Raw genomic sequence first — 23,621 nt, 5'->3', positions numbered from 1 at the left:
CCACTGATGATTCTTCAGGGCCCAAGGGCTCTTTCATTGGAAAGTGATGAATCCTGCCATTACTGAGTCCCTTTAAGGCAGCAAGTTCCCTTCTGGCCCAAGGTTTGTCTAGAGATGTTATCCTGAAGCTGGGACCTGAAATGGGGGTCTCATGACTCTGACCAGTGCCCTCTCCTACTGTGGCTGAGCTAGTATCCAAGTTGCAAGACAAAGTCCTCTTTCCTCCCCTCAAGCAGAAGAAAGAGGTCTCTGTCAGAGCTGTGAGTTGCACTGTCTAGGATTGGAGGAAGGGTGGGCAAGCACTCCCTAGCTGCCCCAGCTGCTGTCTCTGTAGGTCACATGCCCCTAAATACACTGTCTCCAAGCACAGCACAGCATTCCTTGTGGCCTAGATGGACTTTCAGATTTATTAAGGACCCCAGAGTATTTTATCCCACAGTAGCCAGTAGCCTTTCACAACTCAAGTTCCAACCACTGGCATGAAAAATTCCTCTCTGGCTAGGGCTAGTCTAAATGTTTCCTCCGTGGGTGGGCATTGGATGAGTGCAGCCTTGTTTTGCTTTCTGCTATGACAAGGCAGCACTGAATTTAGTGCAAAGTCCCACAGTTGCTGTGCTCTCCCTCCCCCAAGCATGTAGCCCCTCTCCTCACCACAGGTCCACAGCTGGGACATGGGGAAAGGGTGGCATCAGCAATTCAAGACTGTCTTTTTTCTACACTATTCAGTGCTTCTTTCAGTGATATGAAGTTAAAACCAGGTACTATGATTGCTTACCTGATTTTTAGTTCCTATGCAGGTGGTTTTTTTATTTAGATAGTTGCTAAATTTGCTATTCCTGAAGGGAGCACAATTGGCAGAGACTGCTATTCAGCCATCAGGTTCCACCTCTGTGATTCCATACATTCTGAAAGACAGTCTTAACTGGAGAAACAGGCAAATGTAAAAAAAAAAAAAAAAAAAAAGAAAAACAAAAACCCGAAACCTCTTGCCACTGCCTGTCATGATCTTGATCTTCATACGGTGCTCAATGTCATCAAGAGGTGTTCCTTCAGGTTTCCCTAAGTGTCACCCACAAAGCCATTCTCAATCTCTAGTGGACACTGTGAGAGCCTCTGCTCAAAATGCCTCCCTGGCTCTCTCTACCTACCAGCTCCAAGGCCCTTCCCTTTAAAGCAGTCATGAGGCTAGACTGGAAGAAAGACCCCATGAAGCTTCTGTTTCAGCATCATGTTGGTGCCATCTGTGAGCAACCCCATGACTCAGCAAGATTTCTTACACTCTCACAGGTAACTCGGGGCCCCCAAAGTGCTGCTGTGGTTGTATGAGTGCCCCGGGAACCTCTTGAGTGTGGTGAGCACTGGGTGATGCTCCAGCAATGTTTCTCAGACTGCCTGAGGGGAACACTGGAACTTCTAACTCATCAGCCCAATTTCTAAACACATGCAACACTCCTATTGGGGATGGGATGGGGCACAGGGATCTGTGGCTATTCTGTATCTCAAGGTTTCTATAAAACAGAACTTCAGATAAAAGCAGGGGGAACACCAGCAAAGGCAAATTCACAATGTGTAACTCAGGGTGAAACTACACATTTTTCACAGTCCAGAGGCCCTAGACCTGTCACTGGCCAAATAATTATTTCAAAGGCCACACATGTGCCATTTGCCTAGGTGCTGGGGCAAATACCTGCATTTCAGTTCCCCTGCTCCAATCTGTGTGCAATGCCTCTTACGTCTACCTTCACTGGTGGTCTGCATGGTTTGATGATGACCCACAGTCTGTCACTGCTCACCTGTATTACCCTAGGTGCTTCTTAACCCTCTTCACTGCCTTCACTCTGCCTCCCAATTATGGCTTAGTGTCCCCAAAGCAGCCAGCATAACCTCTTCATTTAGAGCATGGCACTGCCCTGCTCAAGATCTACCATGAGCTTCCCATCAAACTGGAGTAAAACCTTAACTTCTTCCTATGGCCTACAAGCCAAAAGGCCCTGTGAGCTATGGTACTGCCTGAGGGGCCTCATCTCCACTGTTTCCCTCATTCTTCACTCTGACCATGCTGGTCACCTTGCTGTTTGTTCCTCAAACACATAAGAAATGCATTTCTGTCTGTCTTTACAGTCATCCTGCTGCCTGTAATGTCAGCACTCTTGTCCGTTGTTCCTTCAGTCAGGTCACTGTTCAAATGTCAGCTCTCTAGAGAGGCTCTTCCTTATCATTTTACCTAAAATAGCCCCCAATCACTCTGTATCCCTTTATCCTGCTTCCTCTTCCTGCTGTTTCATACTACCTGAGAAAATACTTAAGTTCCATCTTCCTAGAACATAAGCTCATAAAAGCAAGAACTGTGATCCACCTGTCCTCTCCTCTACCCCAGCACTTAGAAGAGCGGCACAGGGTCAGCATCCAGTGAGTGTTCATGAATCAAGTCACTGCTTGGCAGCATTCAGCACTGTGACCACAGCTTCTCCTATCTTGAACTCTTTCTCCTTTTATTATCCTTTTCTGCTTTTCCTCTTCCCACTCTAGTGGCTACTCCACTGGGGGCTTGTCCCTCAAATGATAATAGTCCTTACCAAACTATTTTCTGTCCATTTTATCTGTTTTCGAGACAGGGTCTCACTCACTTGCCCAGGCTGGAGTGCAGCCTCCACCTCCTGGGCTCAAGTGATCTTCCTGCCTCAGTCTGCCATGTGCCTGGTGCCACAGGCATGTGTCATCATGTCCAGCTAATTTCTTAATTTTTTTTTTTGTAGAAATGGGTCTCACTTTATTGCCCAGTCTGGTCTTGAACTCCTACACTTGAGCAATCCTTTCAACTTGGCCTCCCAAAGTGCTAGCATTACAGGCGTGAGATAATGTACCCGGCCTTACTTTTTGTTTTCTTAAGATACAGGGTCTCAGGCTGGCGCAGTGGCTCACGCCTGTAACCCCAACACTTCTGGAGGCTGAGGTGGGTGGATCACGAAGTTAGGAGATTGAAACCATCCTGGCTAACACGGTGAAACCCCATCTCTACTAAAAATACAAAAAATTAGCCGGGTGTTGTGGCGGGCGCCTGTAGTCCCAGCTACTCGGGAGGCTGAGGCAGGAGAATGGCATGAACCTGGGAGGCGGAGCTTGCAGTGCGCAGAGATCACGCCACTGCACTGCAGCCTGGGTGACACAGTGAGACTCTGTCTCTAAATAAATAAATAAATAAATAAATAAATAAATAAATAAATAAATACAGGGTCTCATTAGCTGGCCCAGACTGGACTTAAACTGCTGGGCTCAAGTAATTCCCCCACCTCAGCCTCCCAAGTATCTAGGACTAAAGGTGTGAAACCACCATGCCCGGCTTGTCCAATTTCATTCTACACACTTTCTTGGTATTTAAACAGCTTCTGTTGCTCTTCATTCTGTAGCTCTATGTCAGATTCATGCTCTAGTCCTGTATATCCAAATGATGACTACACTCTGCTACTCTGCTCTCTCAAAGGCACATCAAGCTTAGCCCATGTACAAAACTCTCCCTTTTCCAATCCAGCTTTCCCTCCTGCATCACCTATCTCTCTACATCTGGAAGCACCACTCCTGCTTCCCTCTAGCACGTGCTAAGAGTTCCAAATGACTTGCAGCTCCTCGAGAAGGCCTGTATCTGGTCCAGCGCCCTTTCAGGGCTTTCATTCCAAGTGCACAGCAGGAGCCTTCTCCTCTAGACTCTAGCTGGTTGCTAAAGAAGTATTCACATAAGTATTTTTTCATTCCTGGCCATGAAGTTGACTTTCCTCCATAGGTCTGTTGTGGGGAGGAGTAAGACTATTTTTAATAATTTGAACAGAATCTATTATTTAAAATTATAGTTTTACAAAAGGAATTCTGTAGGGATAATGTAAATGTAATGACACAGCTATGGTTTGGTAGACCAACTGGAACCACATTCCTGGGCAACTTCATGAGAAGGCACAGGTGATCAGCAGGGATATATTAACCCACATCATCCAAGGAACAAAGACTTGAGGGCAGCAGCTGTCAATGACAACATGCATCAGAATTGCCTGGGGATACAGCCTGGGACTCAGCTTAGACCTACACCAGCATCCCTTCCTGCCCGTCGGCCAGATGGTTTTGTTACTGCTCCCCATTCCAAACCCTCCACAAGCCCTGGATGTGTGTGCACTGTGTGTGCATGTGTTTATTGAAGTGTTGGGGGAGAAATCAGAAATCCCTCCTGCTGCCTTTAATAGCAATTGCTCTGTGATGAGAAAAGCAATTGTGAGATTTTAAGCCATAATGATGATTCAACTAAAATGTGTGTATTTGCTTTCATAAGTTCCTCTCGAAATTCTGAGATAATTTCAGAAACCTACTGTTATTTAAAAACAGGACCACACCACCCTGTTTACAAGAAGAATTTCTAAAGCTGCTTTAGAAATAGAAAATATCTTACCAAACTTACAATTGCAAATTCAGCTGTTAGCCTTATGGCTTTAAACAGAATACAAACAAAACTGAAAACCAATTTGTGTTAAGGATCATATTTAAAATATTCCTCCAAAACGTCTTCTCACTGAAAGAAGAAAGGATGTAATGTAAGTATCCATTGAAGAAAAAACCTGAGGTGTTCTTAAGACAGAAGTGTTCACATTTGTGCCCATGTGTCACTTAACGATAATTTTGATTGGTGAGATGTCTTTTAGTTTTTACAATATGAACAGTAGAATCCTGAAATACCATAATGATTTCATACTCATCAACATTCACTTAAAAATAATTGAGCTTAAGCTCAGAAAATGTTTGTGTTCTTTTTTACCCTTTCCCCCACATAATTCCATCCAAATGTAAGCTATTACTAGGCTTTAATGTCTTACTGACCGTATGTCATTCTTCTCTGCAATAAACTTTGAAAAAATATAGTTTCCTGTAACCATGAGGCTCTAAGCCTGTGCTGATAAATACAACAGTCACTAGTCACATGTGGCTATTATGCACCTGAGAAAATACATTTTTAAGTTTTTACACCATGTAAGTTGATTTAAACTTAAATTCTTTTTTTTTTTTTTTTTGAGATGGATTTTCACTCTTGTTGCCCAGGCTGGAGTGCAATGGTGTGATCTCGGCTCACTGCAACCTCCACCTCCTGGGTTCAAGCGATTCTTCTATCTCAGCCTCCCGAGTAGCTGGGATTACAGGCGCATGCCACCATGCCCAGATAATTTTTGTATTTTTAGTAGAGACAGGGTTTCATCATACTGGTCAGGCTGGTCTCAAACTCCTGACCTCCAGTGATCCCCCCACCTCAGCCTCCCAAAGTGCTGTGATTACAAAGGTGTGAGCCACCACACCCGGAGAACTTAAATTATTTTTAACCCTCTTCATAAAAATCATGCTTCTGTGTTAAAAGTATTTACATATACTTATATAGCTTGATACTACTGACAATTATCTTTTAAAAAGATATGTTTTCTGTTATTTGGATAGTGTATTTGCTCATATTATCTCACTAATTAAACATACCTGCAGATCAGTTCTTATTCCAGCATGTACTTTTTACAACACTTTTAAAATAAGATGACTAGATGCCACATGAAATGAGGAACAAGACTTAAAGAAAGATGCCTTTGACTGCAGGCATGAAACAGATACAAATCTATGATGAAAATACAAACTCAGGAAGGGCGTGGTGGCTCACGCCTGTAATCCCAGCATTTTGGGAGGCCGAGGTGGGCAGATCCCGAGGTCAGGAGATCGAGACCATCCTGGCTAACACGGTGAAACTCCATCTCTACTAAAAATACAAAAAATTAGCCTGGTGTGGTGATGGGCGCCTGTAGTCCCAGCTACTTGGGAGGCTGAGGCAGGAGAATAGTGTGAACCCAGGAGGCAGAGCTTGCAGTGAGCTGAGATCACGCCCCTGAACAACAGCCTGGGCAACAGAGCAAGACTCGGTCTCAAAAAAAAAAAAAAAAGAAAAGAAAAGAAAATACAAACTCAATAAAAGTGACACTTACTGGGCCAGGTGCAGTAGCTCATGCCTGTAATCCCAGCACTTTGGGAGGCTGAGGTCAGGAATTCAAAACCAGCCTGGCTAACATGGTGAAACCCTTCTACTAAAAATACAAAATTAGCCAGGCGTGGTGGTGGGTACCTGTAACCCCAGCTACTTGGGAGGCTGAAGCAGGAGAATTGCTTGAACCTGGGAGGCAGAGGTTCCAGTGAGCCAAGATGACACCATTGCACTACAGCCTGGGCAACAAGAGCGAAACTCCATCTCAAAAAATAAATAAATAAATAAATAAGTGACACTTACTGTAAATGGGTGTAACCGTTCATCAAATATGCCCAAAGATCTATCTGCATCTCTATAAAATAAGAATGTGTATTACTTCAAAAACTGTTAATATCTTAGTATAATATCCATTTAGTAAAATAATGCCTCCTGTGTGCCTATGTGCTTTGGTGTTTACTTCACCAAAGCAAACAGTTTTTACAAATTCTCCTTGATACTGACTTGCAGAGGGTTTCCTGACCTCTTCTTCCTCAGCATAGCATGTCCTGTACTGTGCAGTCTTTTATACCATAACCAGTCAGAAATGCCTGTGAGTATTGACCCTCCCTAACAGGCAATGGCAATAAACCAAACACATTGTCACTCCTCTAACCACACACTGAAACACAGAAATGTTTTACAAAGTAGTAGTGGTGGACAATACTCTCCTTAGAACTTTAACAAATTTAAATGTGATTCAGATTTGCTAGCTTCCCTTAAACTACTGAAAATAATAAATATATCATGAGAATATACTGCAGATAACTAAAGAGAAACATCAATTTCATTTAAAAGTACAACCGGCCAGCGCAATGGCTCACTCCTGTAAAATCCCAGCACTTTGGGAAGCCAAAACAGACAGATCACTTGAGCTCCTTTAGGAGTTTGAGACCAGCCTGGGCAACATGACGAAACCCTGTCTCTACCAAAAATACAAAAAAAATTATCCAGGCATGCTGACATACATCTGTGGTCCCAGCTACTCAGGAACCTGAGGTGAGAGGATTGCTTGAGCTGAGATCATGCCAATGGACTCTAGCCAAGTGACAGAGTGAAACTCAGTCTTAAAAAAAGGTGCAACTATCATTCTCAAAAATAAATGAAGCTGTCACTCGTTCACAAGGAAATGTGTCACAAAATGTGTCACAAGGAAAATAAGTATTTGTTTCCAAAGACAAAAGTTGAGCTTTCCTGAGGACTTTGAAAAACTTGTTCCTTCTACTGTAAGCTTGACAGCTTCTCAATACTTAAAGATGTTTTAAAATAAGATTGGTGGTTAAATTTAAAAAAGTGATTTCTGACACAATAAAACATAAACCAATATTTTCTAAATAACTAATGCATAATATTATAAATGCAAGTATGTGGGGAAAGAACAATTTATTGTGCAAGAAAGATCAGTGAGTACTGATGGAATACATTTGCTACTATGTAAAATGCCACTATAACTAATTTAAGAAACAAGCACTTGTAAAGTTTTGATTTAGTATTAAAGAATACCCAAACTGTCTTAAAGCTTTAAAAATACACCTTTTACCAACTATATATTTGCATGAGGCTAGGTCATCTTATTGCTTCTTTAAAGCAAATTGCAAAGAAAGAGAGAATCCAGCTGCCTTCTATTAAGCTCAACACTACAGATTTTCAATAATGTAAATACATGACACACTTTATACTAAACGTTTTATCATAGAAAAGTTATATTTTCATCTAAAAATTTATGTTAACAATATTGTTCTCAAGGAATATTTTCTATTGCCACAACCTGGGTCATGGGTTACTACTGACATCTAGTTGGTAGAGGCCATCAATGTTGCTAAACTTTTTGTAATGCACAGGACAGTCCTCACAGAGCATTATCTAGCTCATGATAGCAATAGTGTTAAGTCTGTGAAATCTAAACTAAAAATAGATTTTGAAAAAATATCAATTTTATATTTCTATCACAGTAAATATAAATATAATCAATATAAAATCATACTCATTGGGATACTCAATCATTTAAGAATTTATAAAGTCTCAAGGACCAAAGAAAACACAAATAGTTTGCTTTGATATTTTAGTAGGCACAATACAGCTTATGATGTCTAGAGCTGTGACCTAACGCTCAGCTTGATATCATGCAAAGTAATTAGCCAGAATAACAAGACAGGTTTTAGAAAAGCTCACCTTTGCTTGATATGTTAATATATCACCAAGGTCACACTGTGGAAGGGAAAAAAATTCATAACAATAAATGTTATCATTTGTTAGGCTTGAAGACATTTTTTAAAAGGGGGGCAGAGGAAACACTCCTAGCGGCTCTGAAATTCAAATCTTATAGTTCAGAACAGTACCATAAGGGCACTTTCTTGTTTTTGTTTCTTAGCTTTTCGCAAAAATATGAGAACCAAAATTCAAGGCAGTATGCTTTTAGAAGACATGTTTCTGTTGATGATTATAATATATAAATAACAACATATTTCCCTGTTATATGCTCTTCTACCCACAAAACCTTTCATCCCATGCAATTTATTTTATGCATTTATTTATTTTTTGACCCAGAGTCTCAATCTGTCACCCAGACTAGAGTGCAGTGGCGCAATCTTGGCTCACCAAAACTTCCACCTCCCAGGTACAAGCAATTCTCATGCCTCAGCCTCCCAAGAAGCTGGAACTACAGGTTTGCACCAATACGCCCAGCTAATTTTTGTATTTTTAGTAGGGACAGGGTCTCACCATGATGGCCAGGTTGGTCTCAAACTCCTGGCCTCAAGTGATCCACCTGCCTCGGAACTCCCAAAGTGCTGGGATTACAGGCATGAGCCACTGCACACAGCTTCATGCAGTTTACATCTATGTGTCCATATGTTTAAGACATACAGTAGTGTTTTCTTTTATAAGGTGTTAGGTCCTGCATTTAATTTAGTTCACTATCTCCTCCCACCCATTTTAAATTATTTCCCTAAAAATACATAATGAAAGTGCTTTATAACAAAATTATTTGAAATCACTTTTGCATAATTATTAAAAAATATATTAGTAAACATAAGCACACAGGAAATCAATGATAGGTGCAGTGATCCTAAAATAAGCTGTGCTAACAAGGCAGTGTAACACGACACAGTATAATGTGAACGGCAGGTACCTTCAACTAGTTTAACTGAAATATTTATGAACAGATACACCTCTTCAGATATATGTAACTGTATTCCTAAGTTACTCACAGATGCTGCATATCACAAAACAAGAGGTTCTCTTGCATAAGTTATGTGCTTCCATTTGCCCTCAGCATCTAGAATGAGGCTCAGAATAACTGAGGGAAGGCAAATCTGAATTTTAATAATAGGTCTATACAATATTAACACTTTTTAAAAAGCCTGTAACATTAGCATTTAAGATGAATATGTCTATAGTGCTTCAAATAGTTTTCATCTCTAAAATCATTTTAAAATCACAGAATTTGAAGTTACATGCTGGAAAGGACCAATGACCTTATATGACATTTAATCCAAAACTCATTTTACAGATTAGGGAAAGAAACCTTAAAACTGACTTGCCCAAGGTCCCACTAAATAGGAGCAGTTTCTCGTCCTAAATTCAAATTAAGCAGTGTCTCTCAAACTTTGCTGCACATTAAAATCAACTGAGGAGCTTTAATAACTGCCTTATTTTCAACATGAGACTTTTTGATTTAATTAATTAGCATTGGGTAGGACTTTGGGTATCAGAGTTATTGTTAAAAATTTCCCTGGTGATTTCAAAGTGCAGCAAAGTTTGGAATGATTGAGTTGGTGTGAAAATCAGAACCTTCTGAGATGCTTTTCTTCACATGACGATGCCTCACATCCATTCCAATTTTCCTAAAGGGCTTCTCAGTACCTAGAGATAGAGGGAAGGTTGAGGTGGGAAGACACAAATGTTTGCAGACATGTATTTTGAAAACAAACCTTGCAAAAGTGATCCCAATGAGTTCCATCTACCCCATTGACAACAGTGCACTACTAACCCGTAATAAACATTTTTCAAAATCTTTTCTTGAAGCCAATGTGCCCTATTAATTTGCTCAATAAACCTTTATTTCACTAATAGTGAATATACCAAATGATAATTTCTCAAACTTGTTGATGGGAAATTAAAACTTACTTTACTTTCAGAAGTAGACTTCTAAAAATTAGAATAATGAGGAAAAAAGCATGAAATTTGTTTGAGCAAGATTAATGGAGTAATGTTTAAAACTCCTTTTGAATTGTATACTATCACATCAAAACTTTTGAATTCAGAAGAAGCCAGGGACATGAGCCAGAGTGACCTGTTGTTGTTGTTGTTGTTCTTGTTGTTGTTGCTCAAGGATTTAGAGGCTTAGCTGAATACAAACATTTACCGATTACTCAATAGGTCCCAAAGCTCAGGACTTGAGACAGGGTTTGAATCCAGTTTTTACTGAAACACAATTTTATCTCTACTACTATGATAAGGGAGAGAGGGAAGTGACATTATCATGAGTGTAAAGTTGCCTCTTTGTTGTTGTTGTTGTTGTTGTTGTTATTGGTTTTAGAAATGGAGTTTCACTCTTGTTGCCCAGGCTGGAGTGCAATGGCGTGATCTTGGCTCACTGCAACTTCTGCCTCCTGGGTTCAAGTGATTCTCCTGCCTCAGCCTCCCAAGTAGCGGAATTACAGGCACCCACCATCACACTCAGCTAATTTTTGTATTTTTAGTAGAGACAGGGTTTTGCCATGTTAGCCAGGCTGGTCTCGGACTCCTGATCTCAGGTGATTGGCCTGCCTTGGCCTCCTGAAGTGCTGGGATTACAGTCATGAGCCACCATGCCTGGCCGCCATGTTTTTTTAAATTATACTTTAAGTTCTGGGATACATGTGCAGAACGTGCAGGTTTGTTACATATGTATACATGTGCAATGGTGGTTTGCTGCACCCATCAACCCATCATCTAGGTTTTAAGCCCCACATGCGTTAGGTATTTCTCCTAATGCTATCCCTCCCCTTGCCTCTGACCCCCTGACAGGCCCTGGTGTTTGATATTCCCCTCCCTGTGTCCACGTGCTCTCATTGTTCAACACCCACTTATGAGCGAGAACATGTGGTGTTTGGTTTTCTGTTCCTGTCTTAGTTTGCTGAGAATGATGGTTTCCAGCTTCATCCATGTCCCTGCAAAGGACATGAACTCATTATTTCTTATGGCTGCATATTATTCCATTGTGTATATGTGGCACATTTTCTTTACCCAGTCTATCATTGACAGGCATTTGGGTTGGTTCCAAGTCTTTGCTATTGTAAATAGTGCAGTAATAAACATATATGTGCATATGTCTTTATAGTAGAATGATTTATAATCCTTTGGGTATATACCCAGTAATGGGATTTCTGGGTCAAATGCTATTTCTGGTTCTAGATCCTTGAGGAATCACCACACTGTCTCCACAAAGGTTGAACTAATTTACACTCCCACCAGCAGTGCAAATCATTTCTATTTCTCCACATCCTTTCCAGCATCTTGTTTCCTGACTTTTTAATGCTTGCCATTCTAACTGGCATGAGATGGTATCTCATTGTAATTTTGATTTGCATTTCTCTAATGACCAGTGATGATGAGCTTTTTTTCATATGTTTTTTGGCCGCACAAATGTCTTCTTTTGAGAAGTGTCTGTTCATATGCTTCACCCACTGTTTGATGGGCTTGTTTTTTTCTTGTAAGTTTGTTTAAGTTCATTGTAGACACTGGATACTAGACCTTTGTCAGACGGATAGATTGCAAAAATTTTCTCCCATTCTGTAGGTTGCCTGTTCACTCTGATGATAGTTTCTTTTGCTGTGCAGAAGCTCTTTAGTTTAATTAGATTCCATTTGTCAATTTTGGCTTTTGTTGCCATTGCTTTTGGTGTCTTAGTCATGAAGTCTTTGCCCACACCTATGTCCTGAATGGTATTGCCTAGGTTTTCTTCTAGGGATTTTATGGTTTTAGGTCTTATGTTTAAGTTTTTAATCCATCTTGAGTTAATTTTTGTATAAGATGTAAGGAAGGGGTCCAGTTTCAGTTTTCTGCGTATGGCTAGCCAGTTTTTCTAACACCATTTATTAAATAGGGGGTCCTTTCCCCATTGCTTGTGTTTGTCAGGTTTGTCAAAGATCAGATGGTTGTAGATGTGTGGCATTATTTCTGAGGCCTCTGTTCTGTTCCATTGGTCTATACATCTGTTTTGGTACCAGTACCATGCTGTTTTGGCCACTGTAGCCTTGTGGTATAGTTTGAAGTTAGGTAGTGTGATGCCTCCCGCTTTGTTCTTTTTGATTAGGATTTTCTTAGCTAATACAAGATCTTTTTTGGTTCCATATGAAATTTAAAGTAGTATTTCTAATTCTGTGAAGAAAGTCAGTGGTAGCTTGATGGAAATATCATTGAATTTATATATTACTTTGGCCAGTGTGGCCATTTTCACAATACTGATTCTTCCTATACATAAGCATGGAATATTTTTCTATTTGTTTGTGTCCTCTCTTACTTCCTTGAGCATGTTTTGTAGTTCTCCTTGAAGAGGTCCTTCACATCCCTTTTAAATTGTATTCCTAGGTATTTTATTCTCTTTGTAGCAACTGTGAATGGGAGTTCACTCATGAGTTGGCTTTCTGTTTGTCTATTATTGGTGTATAGGAATGGTTGTGATTTTTGCACATTGATTTTGTATCCTGAGACTTTACTGAAGTTGCTTATCAGCTTAAGGAGTTTTTGAACTGAGACAATTGGGTTTTCTAAATAGATAATCATATCATCTGCAAACAGAGACAATTTGACTTCCTCTCTTCCTATTCAAATACGCTTTATTTCTTTCTCTTGCCTGATTGCCGTGGCCAGAATTTCCAAAATTTCCAATACTATGTTGAATAGGAGTGGTGAGAAAGGGCATCGTTGTCTTGCACTGGTTTTCAAAGGGAATGCTTCCAGCTTTTGCCCATTCAGTATGATATTGGCTGTAGGTTTGCCATAAATAGCTCTTATTATCCATCAATACCTAGTTTATTAAGTGTTTTTAGCATGAAGTGGTGTTGAATTTTATTGAAGGCCTTTTCTGCATCTATTGAGATAATCATATGGTTTTTCTCATTGGTTCTGTTTATGTGATGGATTACATATATTGATCTGCATATGTTGAACCAGCCTTGCATCCCAAGGATGAAGCTGACTTGATCATGGTGGATAAGCTTTTGATGTGCTGCTGGATTCAGTTTGCCAGTATTTAAATGATAATTTTCATGTTTGATGTTCATCAGGGATACTGGTCTGATATTTTCTTTTCCTATTGTGTCTCTGCCAGGTTTTGGTATCAGGATGATGCTGGCCTCATAAAATGAGTTAGGCAGGAGTCCCTCTTTTTCTATTGTTTGGAATAGTTTCAGAATGGTACCAGCTCCTCTTTGTACCTCTGGTAGAATCTGACTGGGAATACGTCTGGTCCTGGACTTTTCTTAGTTGTTAGGGTATTAATTACTGCTTCAATTTCAGAACTTGTTATTGGTCTATTCATGGATTCAACTTCTTCCTAGTTTAATCTTTGGAGGGTGCATGTGTCCAGGAATCTATCCATTTCTTCTAGATTTTCTAGTTTATTTGCACAGAGGTGTTTATAGTATTCTCTGATGGTAGTCTGTATTTCTGTGGGATTGGTGGTGATATCCTTTATCATTTTTTATTGTATCATTTTGATTCTTCTCCCTTTTCTTCTTTATTCATCTGGTTAGCAGTCTATCTATTTTGTTAACCTTTTCAGAAAACCGGCTCTTGGATTCATTGATTTTTTGAGGGGATTTTTGAGTCTCTATCTCCTTCAGTTCTGCTCTGATCTTAGATATTTCTTTTCTTCTGCTAGCTTTTTGAATTTGTTTGTTCTTGCTTCTCTAGTTCTTTTAATGGTGATGTTAGGGTGTTGATTTTATATCTTTCCCACTTTCTGATCTGGACATTTAGTGCTACAAATTTCCCTCTAAACACTGCTTTAGCTGTGTCCCAGAGATTCTGGTATGTTGTGTCTTTGTTCTCATTGGTTTCAAACAACTTCTTTATTTCTGCCTTAATTTCATTATTTACTCAGTAGTCATTCAGGAGCAGGTTCTTCTTAATAGTCATTCAGGAGCAGGTTGTTCAGATTCCATATAGTTGTGCAGTTTTGAGTGAGTTTCTAAATCTTGAGTTCTAATTTGATTGCACTATGGTCTGAGAGACTGTTACGATTTCCATTCTTTTGCATTGGCTCAGGAGTGTTTTACTTCCATTTAAGTGGTCCATTTTAGAATAAGTGCTGAGAATAATGTATATTCTGTTGATTTGGGGTGGAGAGTTCTGTAGGTGTCTTTTAGATCTGCTTGTTCCAGAGTTGAGTTCAAGTCCTGAATATCCTTGTTAATTTTCTGTCTCACTGATCTGTCTGATATTGACAGTGGGGTGTTAAAGTCTCCACTATTATTGTGTGGACATCTAAGTCTCTTTGTAGGTCTGTAAGAACTTGCTTTATGAATCTGGGTGCTCCTGTACTGGGTACACATATATTTAGGGTAGTTAGCTCTTCTTATTGCATTGATCCCTTTACCATTATGTAATACCCTTCTTTGTCTTTTTTTATCTTTGTTGGTTTAAAGTCTGTTTTATCAGAGAGTAGAATTGCAACCCCTGCTTTTCTTTGCTTTCCATTTGCTTGGTAAATATTCCCCCATCCCTTTATTTTGTGCCCGTGTGTGTCATCGCACATGAGATGGGTCTCTTGAATACAGCACACCAATGGGTCTTGACTCTTTATCCTATTTGCCAGTCTGTGTCTTTTAATGGGGGCATTTAGCCTGTTTACATTTAAGGTTAATATTATTATGTGTGGATTTGATCCTGTCATCATGATGCTAGCTGGTTATTTAGCATATTAGTTGATGCAGTTTCTTCATAGTGTCATTGGTCTTTATATTTTGCTATGTTTTTGCAGCAGCTGGTACCAGTTTTTCAATATTTAGTGCTTCCTTCAGGAGCTCTTGTAAGGCAGGCCTGGTGGTGACAAAATCCCTTAGCATTTGCTTGTCTGTAAAGGATTTTATTTCTCCTTCACTTATGATGCTAAGTTTGGCTGGATATGAAATTCTGGGTTGAACATTCTTTAAGAACGTTGAATATTGGCCCCCACTCTCTTCTGGCTTGCAGGGTTGCTGCAGAGAGATCTGCTGTTGGTCTGATGGGCTTCCCTTTGTAGGTAACCCGACCTTTCTCTCTGGCTGCCCTTAAAATTTTTTCCTTCATTTCAACCTTGCTGAATCTGATGATTATATGTCTTGGGATTGCTCTTCTCAAGGAGTATCTTAGTGGTGTTCTCTGTATTTCTTGAATTTAAATGCTGGCCTGTCTTGCTAGGTTGGGGACCTTCTCCTGGATAACATTCTAAAGAGTATTTTCCAACTTGGTTCCATTCTTCCCATCACTTTCAAGTACAACAATCAATCATAGGTTTGGTCTTTTCATATAGTCCCATATTTCTTGGAGGCTTTGTTTTGTCCTTTTCATTCTTTTTTTCTCTAATCATGTCTTCATACTTTATTTCATTAAGGTGATCTTCAATCTCTGATATCCTTTCTTGTGCTATTGATACTTGTGTATGCTTCACAAAGTTCTTGTGCTGTGTTTTTCAGCTCCATCAGGTCGTTTATGTTCTTCTCTAAACTCTTTATTCTAGTTAGCAGCTCCTGTAACCTTTTGTGAAGGTTCTTAGCATTCTTGCATTGGGTTGGAACATGCTCCTTTAGCTTGGAGGAGCTAGTTATTACCCACCTTCAGAAGATTACTTCTGTCAATTTGTCAAATTCATTCTCCATCCAGTTTTGTTCCCTTTCTGGTGAGGAGCTGTGATCCTTTGGAGGAGAAGGGGCATTCTGGTTTTGAGCATTTTCAGCATTCTTATGCTGGTTTTTTCACATCTTCATAGATTTATCTACCTTTGATCTTTGCTGTTGATGACCTTTTGATGTTGATGGGGTTTTTGCATTGTTGTCCTTTTTGTTGATGTTGATGTTGATGTTATTGCTTTCTGTTTGCTAGTTTTCCTTCTAACACTCAGAGGCCTCTTCTGCAGGTCTGCTGGAGTTTGCTGGAGGTCCACTCCAGACCGTTTTCCTGGGTATCACCAGCAGAGGCTGCAGAACAGCAAAGATTGCTGCCTGCTCCTTCCTCTGGAAGCTTCGTCCCAGAGGGGCACCCGCCAAATGCCAGCTTTCCTGTATGAGGTGTCTATCAACCCCTGCTGGGAGGTGTCTCCAAGTCAGGAGCCAGCTGCCATTTTTAATTAAAGTAAAAGTGACTGACAATTGAATTAGTGAAAAATGCTAGAGCATTTGAAATAAAATTGTTTATAAGCTAGTTATGTTTATAGAATGAAAAGTAAAGTTAAAGATGAATACATTAATATTCTAAATTAGCACTTTCCAAATTGTGTTCTAAAAATAAATACTCATAACCCAAAGAGGTGATAATGATGTACACTAGACAAACCCAGTGGAGCTGGTGGTGGTGTTGGTTGTTGTTCCTTTTAAAATAAACTTCATTTCAGGATGCTCTCAAAGCACATCTTTGTGGTCCATGAGGTGCTCATGCACAATGGGAGAAAATCAAATGCAGATACACTGTGGTGCCAGAAGAGAAAAAGCTATTCCTTCTTCCAAGACTAATGTCCAAAGTAATACACATTGATTTAGGCCTACAATGCACTGAAAAACTAATATTTCACAAAAATCACTCAATAAAGGGAACCTATCCTTCTCATTGCATTCAACATTGCCTTAAGGCATAAAGGCATCAAATAAATAGCTACACTTTTTCTGGGATTGCTTATTTGCTGTTTTTTCCTTCCACCATGGCATCTAAGATTAAAAGAGAAATTGATACTTAATATTTAGAATCTGGATATCAATATATAGTTGATTCCAATTTCTTAAACTGATTGCTGAAGAGTACAACCAAATGGCTGAAATAATTTTTGAATAAAGGAGTCTGTCCCTTAGCATTATAGTTGTACTGATGATTTTAGTGTCATTGTAAGATGAGGCTGGCTGGCAGTGCTGTCATCAAGGAATATTGTCGAACATGGACTGTATTGCTGAGTAAAATGCTCACTAGATACCTGAAGGGGAAGGGAAGTATAAGTTAAACTTATCAAAGTGTACTTTTTCATTGGTTAAAATGTCAAATTTTTCAAAGTACTAGGATATTTCTTATACTCCATGAACTGCCTGAGTGTGGTATCATGTGCACTCTATAGAAAACCCACTGGAGGCTCTTAACTTCCACAGATGATGTTTGAGATATGGTTTATAAAATGCTGCCCTTAATATGGTACCTATCATCAAACCTAACAAGGATTTTATTAATTTCCTTTATAAATAATGAGAAAAGTTTAAAGTAAGATTTGATTGTTTTTTTCTATAGTGGCATAAAACAGCTGAGAATTTCTATTTCTGTTATTTATTTACTACAGTAAAATGTAATGTATTAAATAATATTGGTACAAGACCATTTTACTGCAATGAATACAAGACTAATACATTTATTAAGTTACTAATCCTAAATGTAATATTTCAGGCAATATTGTGACAAAACAAGTGTTTCAGATTCAGAGGCTCTATGTACCAGGTCTGCTAGTCCACCAATAAGTGAGGAAGACATAGGTTTCTCTAGTCCTGTTTTCTTATGAGGAGGATAAAAAGAGTGTCACTTAAATATTCTCTCACACCCTGAAAAGAGATGACAACTTAAAAAATTTAACTTTCGCTTCATGTTTAAATAAGACTGACATGACATGACTCAAATAGGACTCTCAGAGAATACTTTCCATTCATTTCAAAACTTGATTAATTTTGTTCTATAAATCATCTAACCTGCACCTAGGCATTTTCCTGCTCTACCCCGTTCTCTGCCTGGAATAATGCTTTTCGCCTTCCTTGTTTCAGCAAGCTTGACTCCATCTACCCTCTTGGATCTCTTTGCCAGTAGCCTCACCAAAACATGTTTTTTTGTACACTAACTGGTTACAAGATACTAATTCCAGCAGAGTATTCCCTTCATGAGAAAGTATGTCTCTCCATAAGAGTAAGGGAGGGCCCTAACTGTTCCTACCTCCAGCTGCTCAGCACAAAATTTTGAATAAATCAAAAAGTTCAACAAGTGCTTGACAAATTAATTCAGTTATAATTTGGAGGTAAATCTTACTACATTTAATTACAACAAAAACACTACTAACAGTTTACTATTTATAGGTATTATTTAAGATAGTCAAAAATAGACAGAAACAAATCTAACTTCAGTCAGCATAAATCACAGAGTATGAAATTGTATAGTCTTTAATGAGAAATGGAAGGGTTTACTTAGTAGTTTTAAGGTTTAATGACAAAAACTAGAAAATAATCATACCTCATATTTTAGTAAGTCAAAACCAAAGCCTTACCATCAAAGGTCCAGTACCCGTTGGACGCCAATGCCCAACCACTGACTTCTTCCACTGTACCTGCTGCCCATCATTTTAACACATTAAAAACACTAAAGCTGTTTTCCTTGTAGAGGTCTTTCACCTCCTTGCTTAGGTATATTCCTAAGGTTTTTTTTTTTTTTTTCTTGCAGCTGTTGTAAAGGGGTTGAGTTATTGGTTTGATTCTCAGCTTGGTTGCTGTTGGGGTATAACAGAGCTACTGATTTGTGTACACTAATTTTGTATCCGGAAACTTTTCTGAATTCAATTATCAGTTCTAGGAGTTTTTTTGGAGGAGTCTTTAGGGTTTTCTAGGTATACGATCATATCATCAGCAAACAGTGACAGTTTGACTTCCAATTTACTGATGTGCATGCCCTTTATTTCTTTCTCTTGTGTGATTGCTCTGGCTAGGCCTTCCAGTACTATATTGAATAGGAGTGGTGAGAGTGGGCATCCTTGTCTTGTTCCAGTTCTCAGGAGGAATGCTTTCAAATTTTTGCCACTAAATATTATGTTGGCTGTGGGTTTGTAATGGATAGATTTTATCACATTGAGGTATGTCCCTTGTATGAAAATTTTGCTGAGGGTTTTAATCATAAAAGGATGCTGGATTTTGTTAAATGCTTTTTATGCATCTATTAAGATGATCACGTGATTTTTGTTTTTAATTCTGTTTATGTGGTGTATCACATTTATTGACTTCCATATGTTAAGCCATACCTGCATCCCTGATATGAAACCTACTTGATCATGGCAGATTATCTTTTTGATATGCCATTGGAAACTACAAAACATTGCTGAATGAAATCATGGATAACAAACAAGTGGAAAGACATCCCATGCTCATGAATGGGTAGAATCAATATTGTGAAAATGACCATACTGCCAAAAACAACCTACAAATTCAATGCAATTCCTATCAAAATACCATCATCATTTTTCACAGAACTAGAAAAAACAATCCTAAAATATGGTACCAAACAAGAACCTGCACAGCCAAAACAAAACTAAGTAAAAACAACAAATCTGGAGCCATCACATTATCTGACTTTGAACTATACAATAAGGCCATTGTCACCAAAACAGCATGGTACTGGTATAAAAATAGGCACATACACCAATGGAAGAGAATGAAAACCCCAGAAATAAACCCAAATACATACAGCCAACTTATCTTCAACAAAGCCAACTAAAACATAAATTGAAGAACATAAACCCTATTCAACAAATGGTGCTGCGATAATTGGCAAAGCCACGTGCAGGAGAATGAAACTGGATCCTCACCTTTCACCTTATACAAAAATCAACTCAAGATGGATAAAGGACATAAATCTACAACCTGAAACCTTAAAAATTGTTGAAGATAACATCAGAAAAACCTTCTAGACATTGGCTTAGGCAAAGACTTCATAACCAAGAACCCAAAAGCAAATGCAACAAAAACAAAGATAAACAGGTGAGACTTAACTAAAGAGCTTCTGCACAGGAAAAGGAACAATCAGCAGAGTAAACAGACAACCCACAGAATGGGAGAAAATCTTCACAATCTATATATCTGACAAAGGACTAATATACAGAATCTACAAGGAACTCAAACAAATGGGCAAGAGAAAAAACAAACAATCCCATCAAAAAGTGGGCTAAGGACATAAATACACAATTCTTAAAAGAAGATATACCACTAAAATGCTCAACATCACTAATGATCAGGAAAATGAAAATCAAAACCACAATGCCATACCACCTTACTCCTGCAAGAATGGCCATGATCAAAAAATCAAAAAATTATAGATGTTGGTGTGGATGCAGTGAAAAGAAAACACTTCTCTACAATGCTGGTAAAAATGGAAACTAGTACAACCACTATGGAAAGCAGTGTGGAGGTTCCTTAAAAAACTAAAAGTAGAACCACCATTCAATCCAGCAATCCCACTGCTGGGTATCTACCCAGAGGAAAAGAAGTCATTATACAAAAAAAGATTCTTGCACATGTATGTTTGCAGCAGCACAGTTTTCAATTATAAAAATATGGAACCAGCCCAAATGCCCATTAATCAACAAGTGGATTAAGAAATACCACTCAGTCATAATAAGGAATAAATGAATGGCATTCCCAGCAACCTGGATTGAATTGGAGACTATTATTCTAAGTGAAGTAACTCAGGAATGGAAAACTAAAGATCATGTGTTCTCATTCATATGTGGGAGCTAAGCTATGAGGATGCAAAGGCATAAGAATGAAACAATGGACTTTGGGGACACAGGGAAAAGGGTGGGAAGGGGGTGAGGGATAAAAGACTACAAATTGGGTTCAGTGGATACTGTTCAAGCAACAGGTACACCAAAATCTCAAAAATCACCACTAAAGAATTTACTCATGTAACCAAATACCACCTGTTTCCCCCAAACCCTATGGAAATAAAAATATATAAATAAATAAACTACGGCATTCTTCCCAGCAACTATAAAATAAAATGAAAACTCAAGTTTATGTTTTCCTCTCTCCTTTTTGGCAGGACAAATTTTAGATATGTTTTTAAATAATAACTTTTTTCTTTTTCTGAGACAGGGTCTCCCTTTGTTGCTCACGCTGGAGTGCAGTGGTGCAGTTACAGTTAACTACAGCCTCAAACTCCTGAGATCAAGCGATCCTCTGCCTCAGCCTCCTGAGTAGGTAAAACTAAAGGCACATGCCACCATGCCTCGGGCTAATTTGTTATTTAACCTTTCTGTAGAGATGAGTTCTTGCTATGTTGACCAAGCTAAAAATAAACAAATTTTAATTAACTTAAATATTTCTAACACTTTGGGCATTCATGAAAACAGCTCCATCTATGTTGTGAGGTAATTGGATAATATGGCAGTGTAAGTTTGAATAAAAATATTAAACAAGGCCTTAGGAGAAAAGTATAATACGCTTATTATAGATACATCAATAAAAAAATTGTCTGGGTTAATACCATTAATTATATTGAAATTAAACTTTGATTCACATGTAAATATAGGTCTTAAATTTGGATTAAATATAATACATTGACCACAAATTTATTTCCTCTGCCTCTGGAAATCTCATTACTCATACATAAAATACAGGTTACACACAGGATCAGGAGAAAAGGTTGACAGAGATGATTTTTAATAAATGCTGGGACATAAAAAGTACATAAAGTAGTGGTAAATAACACAGAAGCACAACTTTGGTCCCTACAGAAAGTGACTGGAAGAGAAGCAAGCCAGTTTGTCTTGTAGAAGTAAAGGCAAGCTGTGAACTTACAGGCAAATGGAACTTTGGAAAGTAGGGTAAAATGTAAAACAAAAGCCAGCAAGGTCAGAAAATCTGTGGTTAGAGCCCCAAGTCCACCTGTCCTCCCATCTGATAAGAAACAGATGTGTGTTCTCTGGATATACCAAACCTGAGAATTTCTAGGTTCAGAAATATCACAGCTTAAACCTGAGATATAAAGAAAACTGTACACCAAAAATAGAACTCCAACTTGCTTCCCTAACTCTGCTTTTGGAAAGCAAGTAGACATTCTTTTACTTCCCAGGCAGAAAATTGGGAGATCCTTTCTCAGAAGAAACTGAACTGACTCTAGTAAAGATCCCCAGATAATTCACTGAAGTCTCGCAAATGAAAAGCTAGTTTGGCTTCCAAAACCTCACACTGAGTGCTATCAGTTAACAGAAGTCCTGCTTCCAAATAAAGCCAGGGACCATCACACATTGGAAGGAAGCCTCCAACAAGAGAGAGCAAAACAACAGAAAAAAGGGATTCATGGACCAGTCAAAATCAGGAGCAAAACTTTTTTAAAAACCTAAAACTTAAAGTATAATAATAATAAAATTTAAAAAAAAACTAAAAACACACTGAAAAAGATATGAAATGCAATAGAAATATTAGAGTAAGAAGTCACAGAAACTGAAAAATCGAAGAGGAAAAATTAAAAAACAATGCAAGTATACTGGTCTAAGCAGCCGAGTATCTGAATAACAAGACTATCAGAAAAAAAGGAACAGAGAAAATTTAAAAATTCCCAAGAAGAGATAGTCTTCAGACATAGTAGCCTCAATAAAATGAAAAGATTCCCACCAAGCTGTTATTAAGAAATTTCAGACTCTCAGTGAGCAAGAAGCTTCTAAAAAGCTTCCACAGATACATAAAACTTGGTCATAAATAATGTATCTCACAATGGCAATAGAGTCGAGAACAACACTGTAATGAGAGCACAATTGTGAAATATCTTCAGAACCATAAAGTTTAGATTCAACCTAGAAGTTTACTCTCTATCAAAAAGGAGGGATTTTAAGACTGGCCAGATCCCTAAACATCTTTGCCCAGGAAAATGTGCTCAAGTACAACCAGAGAGGATAACAGGACAGCAGGAAACAGAATCTAGGACTCAGGTGATCCCACACAAGATGGCAGTTATGTGAGATCCCAAAAGACTTTAAGGCGCTAGCACAGAAAAGCAGACATCGAGCATATCTAGGGAAAGCCACTCTATATTGAACTAGAATGACAAAATGCCAAAGAAAGTTGCCCCACTACCGACGGCAAAAAAAAAAAAAAAAAAATGGAACAGATGTGTTTTAGCAGATGGAAAGTATCTTTGAAAGGCATGTGATAAATGCTACAACACTTGAAGGGAAAACAGCTGTTAGAAAACAGGCAAACAAATATAGTCAGAAAATTAGCTTCATGCTAAAAAATAATGGATGTGAAAGCAAACAGACCAGCCAGTGGCTACTTATTGCATTTGTCTGGGTAAAGCAACATAGGCTAGGGAAAAAGAGATGACCCAGAAAAAGTGCAGAAATGCTCAGATTTCAGAACTGTTTCAGAGAAGGAATGAAGGACATATAATGCAGAGGCACAGCGAAAACACCATATGACTTAGCAGTGAATAGAATTTGCATAGTCATAATCATGTAAATATTACTGATTTAATTAAAAAGTGTGCTACAATTGGAAGAAACAGAGGGAGAAAAATAAGGTCATGGTGTAGTGAGGAAGGTATGCTTTCATCTGCTATGACAAAGTCAATAGACAGTGCTGATAGCTATTCTATTTTTCATATTTATTATTCTGTATTTGTTATTCTG

At 38.6% G+C, this 23,621-nt stretch overlaps 1 pseudogene across 1 annotated transcript in view; it reads right to left on the bottom strand.

The window, feature by feature from the left end:
• The window catches only part of CCNYL4 (cyclin Y like 4 (pseudogene)), a 38,675-nt pseudogene that overhangs the window by 10,502 nt on the left and 4,552 nt on the right, over nt 1-23,621 (bottom strand). Inside the window, exons 3-5 of the transcript NR_024524.1 lie at nt 8,201-8,236; nt 6,293-6,344; nt 4,433-4,552 (exon numbers count right to left, since the gene is read on the bottom strand). The product of NR_024524.1 is annotated as a cyclin Y like 4 (pseudogene) (transcript). The remainder of the gene's footprint in view (nt 1-4,432; nt 4,553-6,292; nt 6,345-8,200; nt 8,237-23,621) is intronic.

The sequence above is a fragment of the Homo sapiens genome, chromosome 10, assembly GCF_000001405.40.
Source record: "Homo sapiens chromosome 10, GRCh38.p14 Primary Assembly".
NCBI lineage: Eukaryota > Metazoa > Chordata > Mammalia > Primates > Hominidae > Homo > Homo sapiens.
This window is presented reverse-complemented; position numbering and strand designations above follow the sequence as displayed.